General features: G+C 39.2%; 1 protein-coding gene across 10 annotated transcripts in view, besides 1 other annotated feature; it reads right to left on the bottom strand.

Annotated features, from left to right (window-relative positions):
- Positions 1-19,322, bottom strand: part of MAST4 (microtubule associated serine/threonine kinase family member 4) — a 573,201-nt gene that overhangs the window by 374,000 nt on the left and 179,879 nt on the right. For all 10 annotated transcript variants that reach the window (XM_024446044.2, XM_047417157.1, XM_047417158.1 and 7 more), the window contains one exon: positions 6,800-6,924. In XM_024446044.2, coding sequence (XP_024301812.1) covers positions 6,800-6,924 — 125 coding nt within the window. The remainder of the gene's footprint in view (positions 1-6,799; positions 6,925-19,322) is intronic.
- Positions 14,481-15,680: an enhancer, noted in NCBI's record as "BRD4-independent group 4 enhancer chr5:66075742-66076941 (GRCh37/hg19 assembly coordinates)". NCBI's record gives its function as "activates an origin of replication core promoter dependent on BRD2, P300/CBP, MED14 and CDK7 cofactors, and independent of BRD4, by STARR-seq in HCT116 cells {active_cell/tissue: HCT116}" and the evidence as "EXISTENCE:reporter gene assay evidence [ECO:0000049][PMID:35650434]".

Here is a 19,322-nt window from a genome sequence, read left to right as displayed (position 1 = left end):
ATAATTTTATAACCAAACCAACTAAGTTTTAAAGATAACACTATTGACTGCTGACCAGGGTATAGTGAGATGCACTTTACCAATCTAAAAGTATAAATTTGTACGGCATTCCTAGAAACAGCTTAGCAAGAGCTATGGAGAATGTCAACAATGCTTATATTCTTTGCCCCAGTAATCCCACTCCAAGAATCTACCTGAAGAAATCATTAGAGGTGAATAAGGACTTATTTAAAATCCACTCACCACCATTATTTGCAGTAGGAAAAACCTGGAAATAACATAAAGGGAACAGTTTAGTAAATTATGATAAATCCACATACTGGAATATTATGCAGCCTTTAAATTGAGTCATAATGGCAATAGAGAAATGTTAATTCATAGATGAATTCTACAACTTTGGTTAAGCAATTTATTCAAGGGCATTCAAATTGTTCCTACATCAATATTTAACAGATACTCTCTCAGAGTTAACTAATTAGACTTCGGATCAGGTTTTTGGTTTTGAGCTATAAGGCTAATGAAGTATTGATATAATACTAAATGACTGCAAATAAAGTCTGTACCCTAAATAAATGCTGACATTATGTCTCTACATTCTGAATGAATTAAAAAGGAAAAATACACTTTTGCATACATTTAGTAAATTTTCCCTGACTTCTTATAATGCATTTCTTTTTTGCAAATGGAAAAGATGAATATTCATCAAGGCTCTTTGAATATATTACAGTTTAAATAGTTTGGTTTTAATATTTATAGAACATCATGAAATGTAATTTCTCCATTGAAAGAAACGTATACGATGTCAAAAGACAGCCACTAAAGAAACATAAAATTAAGCCACTTAACCTAATATTTAAAAGTTAAAATATAGCATTTGAAAGCACCTTGTCCCTTCAAAAAAGTTAAGAATTCTAGAAAGATATTTTTCAGTTTGGTTGGCACATTTTGAGTAAAGATAAGAAAGAAAGAAACAAGCTACTCCCACATCATGCAAGTAAGGACAAAAAGGTTAAATTCCTACCTCAATTCAAATGATCTAAGGGAAAAGTGCTTGTTTTCTTCCATTCTGGATAATACCATCCCACCTAAAGCTACCTCACAATCTCCAAGAAACACTTTTTCTACCAACCCCAAGAACATTGATGACAGCATTTCTTGAGTGACAGGCACTATGCAAAGTACTGTACAAGAGTTCATTCATTTAATCCTCACAATAACCTTCTGAGGTTATTACAACCATTAGCCCCACTACACAAAGGAAGAAGCTGAAGTCTACACAGTCAGCCCTAACTGAGGCTAATAAATGGCAGAAGCTGGAGTTGAGCTCAGGCACCCCATGCTCTCAACCACTCTGCTTTTCCCTTTCATTCTCATTTTCTAACTGAATGATTACAGCTTAATTCCTGAATAAGGTTTCCATAACTAATTTCTCTCTGGCTTGAAGAATAGCTTCTTAGTAAGGCTACATAATGTAAGCAAAAAATTTATCACAGATTAAAAACAAAACCATAAATATACAAGAGTCTGTTCTAGAGCACTGAAAATGTACAGAAAGGAGACATATGTTTATGCATTCAACAAGTTCACTGAGCACCCTACTATGTGCCAGGCACTATTCTAGGCACTGAGGAGACAGCTTGGAAAACAGAATTATCTCTGCCTTCATGAAATTTACATTAGAGTAGTAAGAGATATATAATAAAATAAGCAAACGATATGGTATACTGGACAGTGATAAGCTATGGCGAAAAATGAATGAAGGAAATGAAATATGTGGCAAGCAATATAGGGAACAGTTTGAAACAGGATGGTCAAGGAAAACCTCAATGGGAAGAATGTGAATGAAACCTTCACACAAAAAAGATGAGGCACAGGATTCCAACCAACCAGAAAATTGGAGAAAAATACCAGAAACTAATGTTCATGGTGCTTCTGCCATCTATCTATTACTCCCAAGTACAAATGGAGTGAATATTTCTGATGATGGCCACGTAGCCATTTTAAACTTCCATCATCAAGGCTTACACCCTTATTTTCCTACAAAGAAATAAGTTGCCACTGGTCCTGCTTTTGCCTCCTGAAATTTCCATCTTTCTTGCCAGAAAGCAGCATCTGTATAAATCCCCTGGCTTTTGACGACTATGACTTCTGTGATAAACTACCCATGTGTGTGGGGAGGGACAGAAAGATGGAAGAAGCAAATGGGAAAATGAGTTTTCCCCTCTTCAGATTAATGTATATGAAGTATACATCTGACACTTCATCAGCACTCCCGGCTGGTGTCCCAGCAGGCGGACACTGGCTGAGCATGTATTCTGCCAGCTACCAGGCTACTTAGGATGAACTGGCAACATGCCATTTATCTGAAATGCCCAATGTGTCTGGGAAAGGGAACACAACTATATTTAGCATAGCCAAGGAAAACTAGATACTTCAGGCTAGGAATTAATCTCCTCCTTGAGAAGGTAGTTAGCAATACCTTCAAGCTTGCCTATGGCATTTAAATCACTAAAGGTCATGCATTTACTAAAATTCATACCTACCAAACCTCAGGGCCTTCATTTATATCTTACTAACATATTAATACCTCTCACGTTGAGGGCCTATACTTTTCTGAAATGTATTTTGTTGCAATTGGGCACGGAACTGTTATATTGAGTATAATGCTATCATCTGGACATAAACCAATTTGGTTCCTTGTTTTTCCAATCCCCCCCATACTTGAACACACACATCACTTCAACTTAGTCAATGAATCAAAATATATAAACAAATGTGACTATATGATTGCTTAAAAGCAGACTAATGAAATTTCCTTGAATGTAGACACTAATAATCTCTTCACAAATTTTGTCACCATATTTTTTGAGTGGCTGATGTGAAACTCAATGGGATTTAGCCTGTATCATAGACTTTAAGGCCAATCACAACTGTAAGATGCACACTGGACAGCAAAGCCATAGAGATTTTAGATGGATGGTCTTATTAGGTCACCCATTACAGCATGAAGAATCACACCATCGTGCTCAACCTGCAACTAAAAAAAAAAGTCACTTTTCCATAAATAATTATTTATTCCTTCAACATTATTTACTGAATGCTTTCTATGTGCAAGGCATTGTCCTGAGAGCAGTGAAAAGTAGAAAGTAAAAATCAGACAAGAATTCTGCCCTCAAGGGGCTTGCAGTCTAGCAGGGAGGTATTCGACATAAACACAAAGAACAAAAACGAAGGTGTGCCATGATACATGTCAGGCGGAGTCGGGGGAAGGATGGCTTACAGCTCTACGACAGGGGCAAGGGGTAGACAGAGAGGCCAGGAGGAGAGGATCATCAGCATGAGGAATGTTCTACTGCACAACGCACCTCCGCAAATGTCAATTTGTTTGAAGACAAGGAAAAGAGAAAGCTGAAGAGAAGAAGGAAAAAGAAAAAATTATACAAGGTGTACATTCCCACTTCTTCAGCACAATTCTCTCTCAGGTCTATTAGTTGTAATCGGCAGAGATAATTTTGATATAATCCAATCTAAATGAGGCAGAAACACGAAACAGATCAACTTTAATGCCCCTTTAGCTGTGTGGTTCGACAAGTGGTACCAAAAGCAGGAAAGGTCACTAACATGTACTTGAGTGACACGTCAAAATAAGTGATATGGCATCCAAATCTGGGCACATGGCAGCAGATTAATAAAGAAATCAAGATGGTCGTCTGTCTGGCAGCTCTCCTCTGGCTGCTGCTCTTAATACAACAGAAGGTGAGGGGCAAATAGTTTTCTGTAGACTATAATTAGGAACTAATGAACTCTCTGAAGGGAAAGGGAAAGATAAGGGTTAAATTTTAAACCTTCACTATCTAGTAGTAAATGACTAATCACATTCTGGCTTCTGTGCCCAAGCTTACCTACAATACAATAACAACAACAGAAATAATAATATTGCTAACATTTGTGACTTGTTATATGCCAGGTACTATTATAAGTTTTTTCTACATGGTATTTCAGCATTTTCCCCAGAGTTATATTAAGCAAACACTATAAACATAAAAACCTGCAGGTAAACAAGCTAATAATTTAAGTGATTCCTTGATAACAATGTCATCTGATAGATTTTGGGAGGTACTCTTCTCATGTTTTCTATTAATAGTTCTTACTGCAACCTCTTCCCAAATATCTTAGGTCAGGTGACATGCATTTCATCAATGAATAAGTCAGTTTCTGTTTCTTGGTATGTGACTGTTAGTACTAGTAAGAAGATAGATTACTTAAGAATGGCTGGACATGGTGGCTAATGCCTGTAATCCCAGCACTTTGGGAGGCCAAAGCAGGCGTATCACCTGAGGTCAGGAGTCCGTGACGAGCCCGGCCAACGTGGCAAAACGCCGTCTCTACCAAAAATGCAAAAATTAGTCAGGCGTGGTGGTGTACTCCTGTAATCCCAGCTACTCGGGAGGCTGAGGCAGGAGAATCGCCTGAACCCAGAAGACAGAGGTTGCAGTGAGCCAAGACTGTGCTACTGCACTCCAGCCTGGGCAACAGGAGCGAAACTCCATCTCAAAAAACAAACAAAAAGAAGATATATTACTTAAGAAAACATATTATTCTGTGACAGTGTTGTTTGAATTACAATGATTGACTTGGCGATAAACATACAGGATTACTATTTAGGTGTAAAGAATAATGTTGCAGCAGCTAAAAAACACTTCTGTCAAAAAAAAATCATGAATTGTGAAGTATTTTCCTCTTTCCTTAAAAAGTAAATAATCAGAGTAAAATAAGCTCTTAATAAAATTCCCTAAGGAGAAAAAGTCACTTTGGACTTGGGGATGGGATGGAGGAAAATGCTCTCTACCATCAGGTTAATTGTATCTTTTAAAAATAAGCCCAAGCCAGGCACAGTAGTATGTGCCTGTAGTCCCAGCTACTCAAGAGGCTGAGGCAGGAGGATCTCTTGAGCCCAGGAGTTTGAGGTGGCAGTGAGCTATGATGGTGCCACTGTATTCCAGCCTGGGCAAAAAAGCAAGACTTTGTCCCTAAAAATGAAAATAAAAATGAACTAAAAGTCCCAATATTTTCATGAGAGAAAAAATATGAATTTTGGTTTAAATAGTCAATTTTGAAGTCATAAACTATCCTGAAAGAAATTTCTTTAAAGATAATTATTTCACACATTCAAAATTATTCTGAAAGAAGAATCAGGAAATTCCAGAGAAGAAAGGGACTTTATAGACTGTTTAATGCCTCTTTTCATCTTACAAGTACAAATGAGATGAGAGAATTTGAGAAACGGACTTGTCCAAGTTTATACAGCTATCTAATGGCAAAAGCAGGACTAGAGGCTAGACCTGAACAAAATCTGCATCCATTACTGCATTATTTCCAAATATCCAACATAATTTATTACCAATGCATAAAATTATAAGACACAATACATTGATTTATATATCATTTGCATCTTCATCAATAAAAGGTGTTTAAAATCTATTTCCATATCATACAACCCTACCACCCATGCAAAAGTAACTTGTACAGACTTCTAAGCTGAGCCAAAGGCCAAAACAAAGAAGGGCCCACCAGCAAAAAAAAAAAAAAAAAAAAAAAAAAAAAATTCTAATAAGCATGTTAAACATAAAGGTCTACACCGGGGTAAAAATAGAAATGTGGGAATCCATGCTGCTAACAAATACACACATATTTATGGAGAGTGCTGAAGTTGGAAAAATCACCATTTTCAAACATAGAAAAGAGTGATCCAGGCAAGAATCATCAATGGATTCTTGGGGAAAATTTTGATGAAAAGCGTATTTGCATTGCTTAAAAGTACCTCCCAGGTTGCTCATAGATTGTGGGAGAGAAAGTGGTAACTACAGTGGAGAAATCAGGCAACACTTTGACTGGATGATCACAATTAACATCACAGAGAGGGGCAGATGGATGTGATGGGCCTCCAGACCTCATTCCTTAAGAGGACTTGACATCACCAGTGTCGTATTCTTGCCTGGAATGCAAAAACCTGAATCTCGCCATGAGGAGAGAGCAAACAAATATGAGAAATATTCCCTTAAAAATAAGCCATTAAAAAATTATTCAAAAATGTCAAATGTCATAAAAGACAAAGACTGTGGAAACATCCCAGATTAAAGGGGACTAAAGAGAGGGACAATTTAATGCAACACATGACCCTAGACTGGATCCTACACTGGAGAGGGAAAATTCTATAAAGGACATTAATGAGTCAATCGATAAAACTGAAATACAGATGGCAGAGTAGATAACTGGACTGTATCAGTCATAAATTTACTCCAGTTGATAACTGTGATAACAAAGGTCTATAATATATAGATGATGCACTCTCAAATACCTCAAAAAATCATGTGTGTATGTACACATACACACATACATACACACATAGACAAAGAGAAAGGAAATTATGAAGCTAATTGGGCAAGGTGTTAGTCAGATCTAGATAAAGGATAAACTGGTATTCTAAGAATTTTTCTTATTCTTGCAACTTTTCCATGAGTTTTATATTATTTCAAAATAAAAAGCTACAAAAAGGCCTAGAAATACTTTCATTTCTTTTGGGAGAAGGGTAGAGATGAGGCCAAAATTGAGAGAAATCCTCCAAACTGGGTACAGGTGCAGAAATTAGCACATTGAAAGCAAGGAATTCCACATTGCCAAATATGTGCTTAACGTCACATGTGGGTAAGTTTAAATATAGTTAAACTCAATTAACTTAAATTGTCCCTAGAGAGGTGGTGAGCTGGAGCAGCCTCCACCGGCGCCCGCGGACACTCACCAGGCTGGCGGTGAGCGAGGGCGCCGACTGGCCCAGGGCCTGGCTGCGCATGCGCACGAGGTTGGACGTCTCTGCAGAGGCCGGCCAGGCCTGTCCCGCCACCGGGTTTGGAAGAAGGTACCTCCCTGTTGGAGTTAAAGAGAAGAAAATGTAAGTGACAGGCAGCCGGTAGTAGTCTTATTGCAATGGGGGTGGGGGTGGGGTGTCTCTTCCTGGCCAACCTTGTTCTGTATTACTTCTGCCATACCCAGTAATAACATTAATAGCAACCTGGGAAAACTTGTTCTAATTAAGTCAGGAGATCCAGTGGCAGGGTCTGGCCCTGACCTCCAACATCATCTCCTGCATGAGTGTAGCCTCATCAAGGTAGGATGAGGTGTTTTTTTCCCGTCTGCCTATACCAAGGGAATGTGTTGAGAATATATATAAGTACACAAAGCATTCTCAGCATCACAGAAGTAAGCGCGTGCATTTGTAAGTGTTCTTTGAAAAAATCTAATATGGAAAGTGATCTAGGACTCAATTATAAAATAATCTACAAAGTGGAGATCATGACCAACAAAAGGAAACAGAATTCTTTCAAGATGAAATGGGGCTGGTGCCTCTCCCCCAGCTCCTTTTTTCTCTGAAGTGCAGGTGGCCATCCAACTGTGTCTGTGGGATACATAATCATATCCATTTGCATAAATCAGGACATCAATGTCAGTCTAGGTTCACTGAGTAATTTCCATCAACCTTGAACTCTAATATATACATATATGTTTTTAAAAGTCAAACAGCTGAACCAATTCACACTACATTACTTCCTTGGTACATGGACTTGACTAATATTAACACACAAGAAATGATAGTTTTTGACTTCAGGAAAATTAGGATGGACATGAATATTCATATAGCAATAAAGGTCAGTAAAAGTAGAGACTGTGTTTAATTTTCATCTGCTTTGCCCCAATAATAGCAGAATTACTGGCCATAATAGCTGCTCAATAAATATTTACTAAATGATGAAAGGACATGTACACATTTCCTTCCAAAAAAACAGACAATGAAAAGATAGCAGACCACACAAAGAATCTCATCTTAGGGCCATGTGTTGGGGACCCCAGCCTCATTCCTCTCCAGAATCATGAGGGATTGCAGCATGCGTAGCTGGTGGCCCTGCAGCACAGGTAACATCTGTTCCTCGCTTTTCCCTCAGGCATGCATCTCACAAGCACATTGTACTGGTTAATAACGATTGCAGTGTATTAACTAGTTTACCATTACTGCACACGCTAACTACCAGCACTGTCAAAGCACAGGAGCTAGGGGCATCTCCCATCAATTGTCCATGTGAAGAAGTCCACTGCTTTATTTAAGTCAAGTGCTTTCAAAAATTTGTATTTTAGTTGCAGAGGAAAAAATGGCTTCTTTTGCCAGAATTGCTTTTTCACTCTTTTATTATAGAGTGAAAGCACAGACTCTGGAGAAAAATTAGATCTTCTTTTGAAATCCTGCTCTGTAGCTGAATGACACTGGGAAAGTTAGTCAATCTCTCCTGGACTTGATTTTTCCATCTCTAAAATGGGGGTGATAGACTTGACTATGTAAAGTTATTGAGGGGATCAGAGAATTTTGTAAGTACAGTACTCAGTAAATGTTAACTATTTAGCCATAACAGCAGTAAAAATGAAAAGTATCTTCTTTATTTGGGATGGGCTTTTCATTCACAAGAAGAAAATGCAAATATATACAAAGGAACAAAAATTACCTATCATCACACCAGATAAAACCACTATCAACACCTTAGTGATTTTCCTCTAGACTTTCTTTTTACAACCTATATTTTATTGCAAAAAAAATGTGATACTGATTTTTGTCACCTGCTTCCTGCCAACCCTACATAATAGATTGATTTTTTCCAAGCAAATAAATGTAGCAAATGTCAATTAATTTAACACTATCATTGAAAATTCAATGACAGTGAACTTCTGTGGTTCTGATCACCATCTCAAAAACATTCAGACATATTTTTGGGCAAGGTATGTTGCATTTGAAGCCTAGAATTTTAATTTTTTCCTTTCCTTATTTTGAAATGTGCACTAAAAGCTGAACTAAGAACGGCTTTGAGAAATCGGTCCCCTGTAGGCCCAAAGGCAGGTAATTAATGAGGAAGAGCAGGAAAACTATAGAGTGCATTTAGGAATGCTGCATTAATATTACAGGAATAAATGGTTTCCTTAATACAGAAATCACTCAGTATTTGAAGGACTCACTTGTTAAAAATATAAAAACCTCTAATAATCTGAATCCACTTTTTCCTCCCTCCTATGTCATTTTCTATATTTTATTTGTATTTATTTATTTGTATTTTATTTGCATTTTCTTTGTTCATGTTTTGGAAAAGGGCATGATTGAGAGGTACAGAAGCTACATGATGCCACAGTTTATATGATGGAGAGAACCCACTATAGCCTCACTGTTGTTCTGCCTCCATATGCTTCATTTTAAAGAAAACTGAACGTAGATTAAAAAAAAAAAAACTTGGGAGAATTTAATGTAAAATAGAAAAAATTAAAGGCAAAGTATTTTTACTCAGTGAAGAATTTGAAAAATCTTTTTTTCCTTTAGTAGAAAATAATTATTAGGCTGGGTACAGTGGCTCACGCCTGTAATACCAACACTTTGGGAGGCCGAGGTGAGCGGATCCCTCGAGCCTAAGTGTTCAAGACCAGCCTGGGCAACATAGTGAGGTCCCGTCTCTACAAAAAGTTAAAAAGTTAGCCAGGTGTGGTAGCACACATCTGTGGTCCCAGCTACTCAGGAGGCTGAGAAGGGAGGACCTCGTGAGCCTAGGAGGTGGAGGTTGCAGTGAGCCAAGATTGTACCACTGCACTCCAGCCTGGGTGACAGAGTGAGACACTATCTCAAGAAATAAAATAATAATAATAATACAAAACAAAATAATTATTAGACTGTCTCTGTATAATTCTCCTGATGTGAGGAAATAAGTTTATTCTTTTCTGTATCCCCAGTACCTGTTATAGGGCCTGGCACTTAGTAAATGCTCAATAAATGTTTGTTGACTGAAATGCAGGGAAACCATACTATTAGAACAATACTGATCAAGTCTCAAAAGGAAGAAAACCACTGAACAGATAATTTTCTTAAACTTCCTTTTTAAGTATAAAGTAATAGCTAAAATACATTGAGGCCTTATTATATACCAGGTACTGCAACATCCTAACAATCGTATGGGATAGGTATGATTATCTCCAGTCTAAACCCAGAGAGGTACATAACTAGGCAAGAGGATACAGCTACACAAATGGGCAAAAATCAAGATTCTGACTCGAAAGCCCCATCTACCCCAGGAAAATATTCATCACATATGTTTAGGTGAAGAACAAGTTATAAATTAAGACAGAATGATTCTATATTTATACAAAAATCACAAAATAACATATATTATTTATAAAGAGAAAAGCACCTGGAAAGATGGGAGCAGAGTGATTCAAACCACAGGCTTGGCATCAGGCACAAATGGGTCTGCAACCTAGCGTTTTTTGTTTTGTTTTGTTTTTTGAGACAGGGTCTCACTCTGTCACTCAGGCTGGAGTACAATGGCGCAATCTCAGCTCACTGCAACCTCTGCCTCCCAGGTTCAAGCGATTCTCCTGCCTCAGCCTCCCAAGTAGCTGGGATTACAGGCACGCACCACCACGCCCAGCTAATTTTTGTTTTTAGTAGAGACGGGGTTTTACCATGTTGTACAATGGCACAATCTCGGCTCACTGCAACCTCTGCCTCCTGGCCTCAAGTGATCCACCCGCCTAAGCCTCCCAAAGTGTTGGGATTACAGGCATGAGCCGCTATGCTCAATCTGCAACCCAGTTTTTACAGTCACATGCAGTTGAGCAACTTATTTAGTTCCAAGCCCCCAATATTCCCATCTCTAAAAGGGGGATAATACCTTACAAAGTGGCAGATAAGATGAAAGGAGATAATACACTTAGTCACTCCACCTAGGACATGGAAAAGCAGTCAATGTACTGTCACACTTCATATTATCGTAAGACCTGCATCCTCCACCACCACCACAGCAACAGAATAAAACACGGTAACTGGGTTCTTAGGCCGGGTCACACACACACAAAAGAATAATATTGAAAGATATTGAAACAATTAATATTTCTTCTTGTAAGTGATAAACAGCAAATTCAGAATTGTAGTCATCTCTGGCAGAAAAAATGAGGGGTGGGTGCAGGGAGGAGTATGGTAGATCTGTCATATTTTATTATTTTAAAAATTACCAGCAGGGAATAACAGGGTTTGCTACTTCAACTTAGAAGTGTAAATGAAGAATTAAGTTTTTGACTTGTGGCTTTAACAAATTTAATAAGAAATTTTTTAATGTATCCGGAGAATGTAGCAAATATTAAGCTTTGATAAAGCTGGCTGATAGGTATATGGGGTTGTATAGAATTATTCTCTATTAATTTCTGTACATATTTTATAATATTACTTTTAATAATTCCTAGCAAAAAATGTGTTTTGTATTCTTGCATGGCAAACTGGCCAGGAGCACATTCCCTCAACTCCTCAAGATGGTAGTTCCTATGGCCCAGGTCAGGGACCCCAGAGGTCTGGGTGATCGTGGAGGACTCCTACGTCCTAGGTTGAAAAGCAAGGAGCCAGGGGAGAGATTTGATGGGGAATGGGAGCAAAGAGGTACCACAAGGAATCTCAACATCAAAGTCAAGGCAACAGGGACTGGGAAAGGCTCCCTGCCAGTGGGAGGGCAGAACAAAGCAGGCATAACTCCCAGGTAAGGCCTCAGTACAGGAAATTCATAAGCTAGGACCCTGGCTCAATGAGACCAAGCATGGTTCAATAAGAAGTTGGACTCTGAACAGAATCCAGAACCAGCACCCATTGCTGGGGAACACAAAGAAAGGAACACCTGAGCCATGCCCTTTCTCTCCCCACACTCTGAGCCACGCTTTCAATACTGCAGTTTTGTTACGTCTCACAGGATATTGTAAAGCAAGCAGAGACCACTGAGAACAAGCATGCATGCCATCTCATCCTTCTCTGAAATCACTCAATTTAACATGATTATGTACATTTTATTTGTGGCCATCTCGTGAAAGTCCAATCTTGGTAACAAGACCAAAGGTGTGCCCTCAATTCCTTTGTTACCTCAACAGCCTAACGCAAAAGACAAGGCTTTGACATCCAGTAACTGATCTGTCCTTAGCCCATATTCTTATATAACACCTTCTTTAAGCCCAACAGGATAGAGAGATCCTTGCCAGTAATGGTAAAAATTAATTGCTCTAGTTGTGGTTGACTTTAATGTCAGACTGCTGAGTTCCTATTCTAAATTCCCAAACTGATTCCATCACTTATAACATGAACTTCTCCAAACCTCAAGTTCCTGAGTAGAACAGGGCCAAACTTGTAGGGCTGTTGTAAAATCTAAAAATAGAAAATATAGAATGAACACTCAATAAATATAAGCTTAAAAAATAAGAAACACCAAGAGCTACCCAACACACATTAAATTATAAAGTGAGCAGAAATAAAATTTTGTTAAACCACTGGAAAAAATTAGGAAGCACTTACATACATATACAATGAAATGCCTATAATGCAATGATGGGTTAGATTTTAGATGTCGTTATTTGCGTAGGTCTTGTCCTGAGGAATCATATGAATGTTATAAATTGGAGGGTCTGTTAATACAACACATGGGATATTTTATTCCTGCCTAGACCCCCATTAGTGTTAATAGAGAAAAGAGGACAACAGATGGATTTAAGACAGTCATTAGAAGGCACTAACATGATACACAGTTGATAGTGATTACATCAAACTTTATATAAATTCACTTTTTGATGACTATCAAGAGCCTCTAAAAAGTGTGTTGCTGTCGTATTCATGCATCATTTGCTGCCTACAATTTAAGAAAATTAGCATCTGTCAATGGCATTATTCAGCTACACAGGGTGGAAATTAATGGATAATACCATTTCTAATTTGTTGTATGAGAGGTGAGCTTGCCTAGCAATCTGGCTGCTCTATTTTAATACCAAATTGAGCTTGTTGTTACAATTGAAACTGGATTAGCTCTGTGTTCTTTGGAAAAATGTTTCCAAAATTCTACTATGCTTATTGAAACATGTATCAAATGTTTTCTACTGGCATGACTAGAAATTTAGAGGCAATAAATAAAGGTCTGTATTAAAGCTGGAATCAGTTGGACGGATTGATACAAGAGCGTGTCAGGTCTCAACCATAGAGGTGTGGGTTGTTTGAATGGACTTCTTGTACTGGTTATTTTTGCTGTTTTAGCCAAAGGGCCTCTAGTTAACAGAGTTAGAGTGGAAAGTTCTGTAGCCTTGTATGGTTATATGTACATTAAAATAAATACATTATTGAATCTAGACCCAGATCATGCCTTGGTTCTATCAAGGCTATATATGACCTCTCCTAGAATGTGTTTTCTTTTTTTTTTTTTTTTGAGACGAAGTCTCGCTCTTGTCCCCCAGGCTGGAGTGCAGTGGCATTATCTCGGCTCCCTGCAACCTCCACCTTCTCGGTTCAAGCGATTTTCCTGCCTCAGCCTCCCGAGTAGCTGGGATTACAGGCGCCCACCACCATGCCTGCCTAATTTTTGTATTTTTAATAGAGACAGGGTTTCACCATGTCGGCCAGGCTGGCCTCAAACTCCTGACCTCAAGTGATCCACCCACCTCAGCCTCCCAAAGTGCTGGGAGTGTTACAGGTGTGAGCCACTGTGCCCAGCCACGATACATGCTTTCAAAGCACCCCGAAGCTGGAAGTATCCCTCTGAAGTAGAAAAATACCAAGTCTGCAATAATTTTAGCAGAATGGCCATATAAAGAATTAAATAATAGCCTCTGGAGATCTACTTTATCACTGGGGAATAATGGTACCCGATTAGATTTGAAAGCTTCCATTAAAAAAGTTCCGTATCACCTGAAGTGCAATATATATTTAGTAGCCAATCCATAGTCTTAAATTTTGGGTGATTTTTCTTGGACTATAAGCAGGATATCAAAGAGAAAATAAGACCTAGTAACTATACAACAAAGCTCTCTCTTGACGTGACTTCTGGTTCTCAGTCATAGAGGAGAACTCTGAAAAAATGTGTACAACCCTCTAAGGTACCAACCAGGAAAAGGGGAAGCTGAAGTGGCCCAGATATCGCTCTCAAGGGTTTTGGGGAGATTTTAAGGACAGCCATAAAAGGAAGGCAGGAAGAACAGGGGTAGCACTGCAGAAGTTAAGGGACTAGAAACAAAAAGAACAATGGCAAGCTGGCACTGAATTGGTGCCATGAGCAGGCAGACAGGGCACAGGCTCTGTTGCCAAACCTTGTTCTCTTGTCCTATATCTTTACAGGTATATAGGTTAATAGGTTTTGGCTAATAGCCTCTCTTTGCCTAGACATCTCTACTGAAGCTCTCAGAGCAGCTCCCAGAAAGTTTACACCCACCACTAACCTGGGAGCAGGGACATTCTCACCATTTTACCTTCCCTGTGTCTAGTAAAATCTCCCTTGCTTAATCTCACTTCTGGGTAAATCCACAAAGGAAGTAAAAGTAGGGGCTCAAATAGATATTTGTACTCCCATGTTCATGGCAGCATTAGTCACAATAGCCAAAAGGAGGAAACAACTCAAGTATTCATTGAGGGATGAATGGAGCGCAATGGAATATTACTCAGCCTCAAAAAGGAAGGTACCTCTGACTTGTGTTACAACATGGAGGAACCTTGGAGACATGCTGAAAGAAATAAACCAGTCACAAAAGGTGAGATATTGTATTGAGAGGTGAAGCCAGCTGGACCTTCCTGGGCTGAGTGGGGACTTGGAGAACTTTTCTGTCTAGCTAGAGGATTGTAAACGCACCAATCAGCGCTCTGTGTCTAGCTAAAGGATTGTAAATGCGCCAATCCGCACTCTGTAAAAATGCATCAATCAGCACTCTGGGTCTAGCTAAAGGACTGTAAACGCACCAATCAGCACTCTGTAAAAATGAACCAATCAGCACTCTGTAAAATGGACAAATCAGCACTCTGTAAAATGGACCAATCAGCAGGACATCGGCAGGGCCAAATAAGGGAATAAAAGCTGGCCACCTGAGCCAGCAGCAGCAACCTGCTTGGGTCCCTTTTCACACTGTGGAAGCTTTGTTCTTTCACTCTTCACAATAAATCTTGCTGCTGCTCACTCTTTGGGTCCGCACGACCTTTAAGAGCTGTAACACTCGCCACGAAGGTCCGCAGCTTCATTCTTGAAGTCAGCGAGACCACGAGCCCACTGGAAGGAAGAAACTCTGGACATATCTGAAGGAATAAACTCCGGACACACCATCTTTAAAAACTGTAACACTCACTGCGAAGGTCTGCAGCTTCATTCTTGAAGTCAGTGAGACCAAGAACCCACCAGAAGGAACCAATTCTGGACACAGTATGATTCCATTTATGTGAAGTACCCAGAATAGTCAAATGCATTCTTTCATAGAAAGTGTAACAGTGGTTTACAGGGGCTGGGGGGAGTGGGGAATGGGGAGTTCCTGTTTAATGGGTACAAAGTTTCAGTTTGGGATGATGAAAATGTTCTGGAGATGGATAGTGCTGATGGTTGTACTTAATGCCGTTAAATTATACATGTAAAAATAGTTAAATGGTAAATTTTGGTATGTATATTTTTTACCACAATGTTTAACCTGCCTGCCCCCCAATCCCTTGCTTGGCCAATACCACTGTACCTTATAGAAGAAAAAAATAAGAGGATCCTTTTTGTTGTCCAAAAGGAGGTATCCACATTAACTATAACACCACTTGCTTTTGCAAATTATACTTCATAACATAAGCCCTCCCAATCATTTATAAGTTAGGGGAAATGAGTTTTTAAAGAACCTGTCAAACTTAAGAAATGAAGAAGGGGCAAAGACCGCAAAGAGTCACTGTCTAAATCTGGGCACAATTCATGACTCAGCAGCCATCACCCTAATTCCGTCACCATCAAGTGATTCTTCTTCTCTGCCCCATTGCTCACTCCTAAACATTTCTTCCCTCATAGTCCTGACTCTCATCCTCATGGGCAATTACAGCTTCCCTTATTCATCTTCAGCTGTGCTCCCGCAAGAGAGACATGGTTTCTTTCATCTTCCACTCACATGGGTGACTGACTTCCAATTTCTTGTCCTCACTGCAAAAGAATGACCGTACCCAGACAGCATCAACAATGCTGCTAAATCACTCTTCTTAATGGCATAAATGGATACAATTTGAGAAACCAACAGACCTGTGACCAGAAAGTGCAGAAGTTCACTGACTCCTATATTGAACTGCTATTCTAGCCTTAAAAAAAAAAAAAAAAAAAAAAAGTGCTATGTGTTTACTCACACAAGGGAAGTCCAAAGCAGAGTCGTGACTCTAAGTGCTCAAAGACATCACTGACTACTGACCAATGATCTCCAACTGACAAGGAAACTGAAAGCTGGACCAAGAGCAGCTGTAAGTCTTTTGGAAGGCTGGTATTGGGAGTAGGGTGATGCCAAGAGGGCATCAAGGTCTTAAGACTGTAAGACTGAAATTTATTTGCTAAACTATGTTTCCACAAGACTTAAATCCACCAGAGATGCCCAATTTCACTTTTTAGAATATTATCACCAGCATTCCATACTTAACATAGAATGCCAACACAACATTGCTAACTATAAAATTTGCCTGGTGAGCAAGTCAGAGCACTGCTGTGAAAGGAAGCTCCTAGCAAGGGGGACAGGTATCAGAAGTTTTTCTTTCACGTGGGCCCAGACAGACTAAGTACCTGACAGATGTTTTAAGGAGTCACTAAAAAGCCCAGTTCCATGCTATGAGAGAACTAGGGATGGGTGAAAAACAACAGAACATACATGTCTACAATACAGAAATCAAGGTCTTTGAACAAACCATGAGGCTATGGAGCAGAAACTCAAGCTGCCACTGCCACTGTGAACCAGAGCTGCAGTGTTAAGAATAATTTTTGGTATGGGTAATATGGCAAGGTGATTCAAAGATAAAGTCATCTTTTCACCCTCAATCATAGATAGCCACCCTGTTACTCTTGCCATATGACAAAAGGGCAAAAATGCTAACACATAGTTTATTTTTAAATGGAAACACATTAAAGTCAGACTTAAAGAGAAATATATTTGACCTTTCTTTTACTTTCCCTTAACTTGTTCATAAAAAAACTATTTCTTCTTATGTACCAAGATTATCACTCTCAGTCAAATTCTAATAAGGGCAGATATTAGGACCAAATTAATGCATGCAATAAAGCTTGGTAAGCTGTAATGTTTCTATTATTACAAGCACATCACTACCTTTGGGTTTACCAACACCCAGCAAATTCTCCCATTCTGCAATGAGGCCCAGCCCTGGCCACCAACTCCCTGTTTTACCTAGACCACCAAGGCAGTTGTCCGTCAGGTGGCATTTTTCTGGATTTAAAATTCTTATCAAAAAATAAATAATGGTTTGGCCCCAAACTCCAGTTGCAGAGACCAAAGACTAATGTGACAACTTAAAATTGATTTTTAAAGAAGTATTAAATAGAGTCTACACTAATGAGAACATGGTAACAAGATTCTGACATCAAGCAGTGTTGCTGAGAATGAATGAATGCCTGCGTGACGGCACCCAGAGAAGTGGGTGGTGGTGGTGTCTGAGCAATGCTAGGCAGAGGTCAGTGTTAACATCTGCAAACTGGCCTCCCTCAATTCGCATACTGAAATATAATTCAGTAGAATGAATTGCTAGACATGTCTAACCCCCCTGGGAAATGACAGATATTGATGAATGCTGCTGGCAAGATATATGGAAGGAAACAGCAAATAAATAGAACCATTTTTTCTCAGAGTCATTTTGTGGGTATGTGGAACAGCTGTTAAACTACTTGTCAGCTCCCTCTCTGTCTTCCTCCTCATCCTCCCTCTCCCCAGCTGCCTTATCTACACCTTTCTAAAACCTCCCTAAGGACCAGTAGCTGGCCCTCTTTAAAATAATAATCAAATGATTAAGAGTCATCTCTTCCTCTTCCCCATCACAGTCTGACTTCTCAATCCAGTCAGTGCAACCCTTTCTAAGATTTCACTCCATCTAAATGTGTTCACTGCCCCCTCCAGATCCTTGAAAGACCCTTAATTTCTAAACTCATAAAATCAAACTGTTGATTTCAAGTCCATCACCAAAGATCCCAGACACGAGGTTTAAATCCTAAAATCAAACCCTGACTACTATCATGTATCCACCGTGTGACCTTGGACAGGCTTAACCTTCTAAGCCTCAGTTACCATAAACATGCTGTACAATGGCGATGATACCAATCTTACGAGGTGATGAGAATTTAGAATGTAAACAAAGAACCTATCATCTGACAAAAGGCCCAAAATAAATTATTACTTTTTATCCACTCTACTTTTCACTGTTAAACAGCTCCTCCTGGCAACAGTCCTCCTCCTTGGTGTCATCTTCGGATTAGATCAAATTCTTTCCAGCACTGGGAACTTGGAGCATACCTGGTTCTTGTTCCATCCAACAGGTGGACTCAGGAGTACAGAATGGAAAAGCAGTCAGACATCAGTTTGCATCCTCCTTTCACCATTTATTAGCTAGAGAGTCCCGGATAAATACCTTGACCTCTCTGAGCTTCGATTTCCTCACCTCTAGTGATGATGATAGTAGGTAACACATGTTAAAGTGCCCAGCACAAAACTGAACACAGAATTTGTGCTCAGTGATAGTTCAGGTCCCCCTCCAGGATGCTTTTACCGATTCTGGCACCATTGGCATTGAATCCACAAGCAGGATTCAGTGCCAGTGGTGCCAACCAGGAAGGCTATTACCCTTACCTTCCCCCATCATACCACCCACTGCTGTGTGTGGGTGCACATGTACAGAGTGCCATTTATTTCTGTATGCAGTATGTTCTACTACACTGTAACTTCTGCATCTCATCTGTTTTTGTAGCCCCACGTCACACCTAGCACAATATCCTGCATGTGAAACACACTAGTCTTTACAGAACCAGATTTAAGTCTGTGTGTATTGACTTTCCATCTGTCTCTCATTTATATTTCTCCCAAGGATCATATTTTTCATTATTATTTAGTCACACACTGCCTAGAAGAATATTTAAGTTTGGCTCAAGTGTTTGTTTTATAATGATAACAGTAATGAAGAAAACTCAGAGGCCTTAAACTTGATATGGAGAAGACTGTGTCACTTCTTATAGCTTTGATTTTCTCTTCTAAAAACCATCTCAAAAAGAGTCTACCATCTTCACAATATAATGTCTATTTTCAAGGTAAGCTAATTAACCTCAATACCCCAGAGGACAACTTATATTTGATATCTTACTTCTTGGAGAAATTATGAATCCTACTCAATGACGCTCTTTTGCTCACCAAGATGCTCTGATGGATGCACTCAAATGTCACTGGCAACCCTGAGACACAAAACATTT

The sequence above is a fragment of the Homo sapiens genome, chromosome 5 (genome assembly GCF_000001405.40).
Source record: "Homo sapiens chromosome 5, GRCh38.p14 Primary Assembly".
In the NCBI taxonomy this organism is placed as follows: domain Eukaryota; kingdom Metazoa; phylum Chordata; class Mammalia; order Primates; family Hominidae; genus Homo; species Homo sapiens.
The sequence above is the reverse complement of the archived record's forward strand: the minus strand, read 5'-3'. Positions and strand labels throughout refer to the sequence as shown.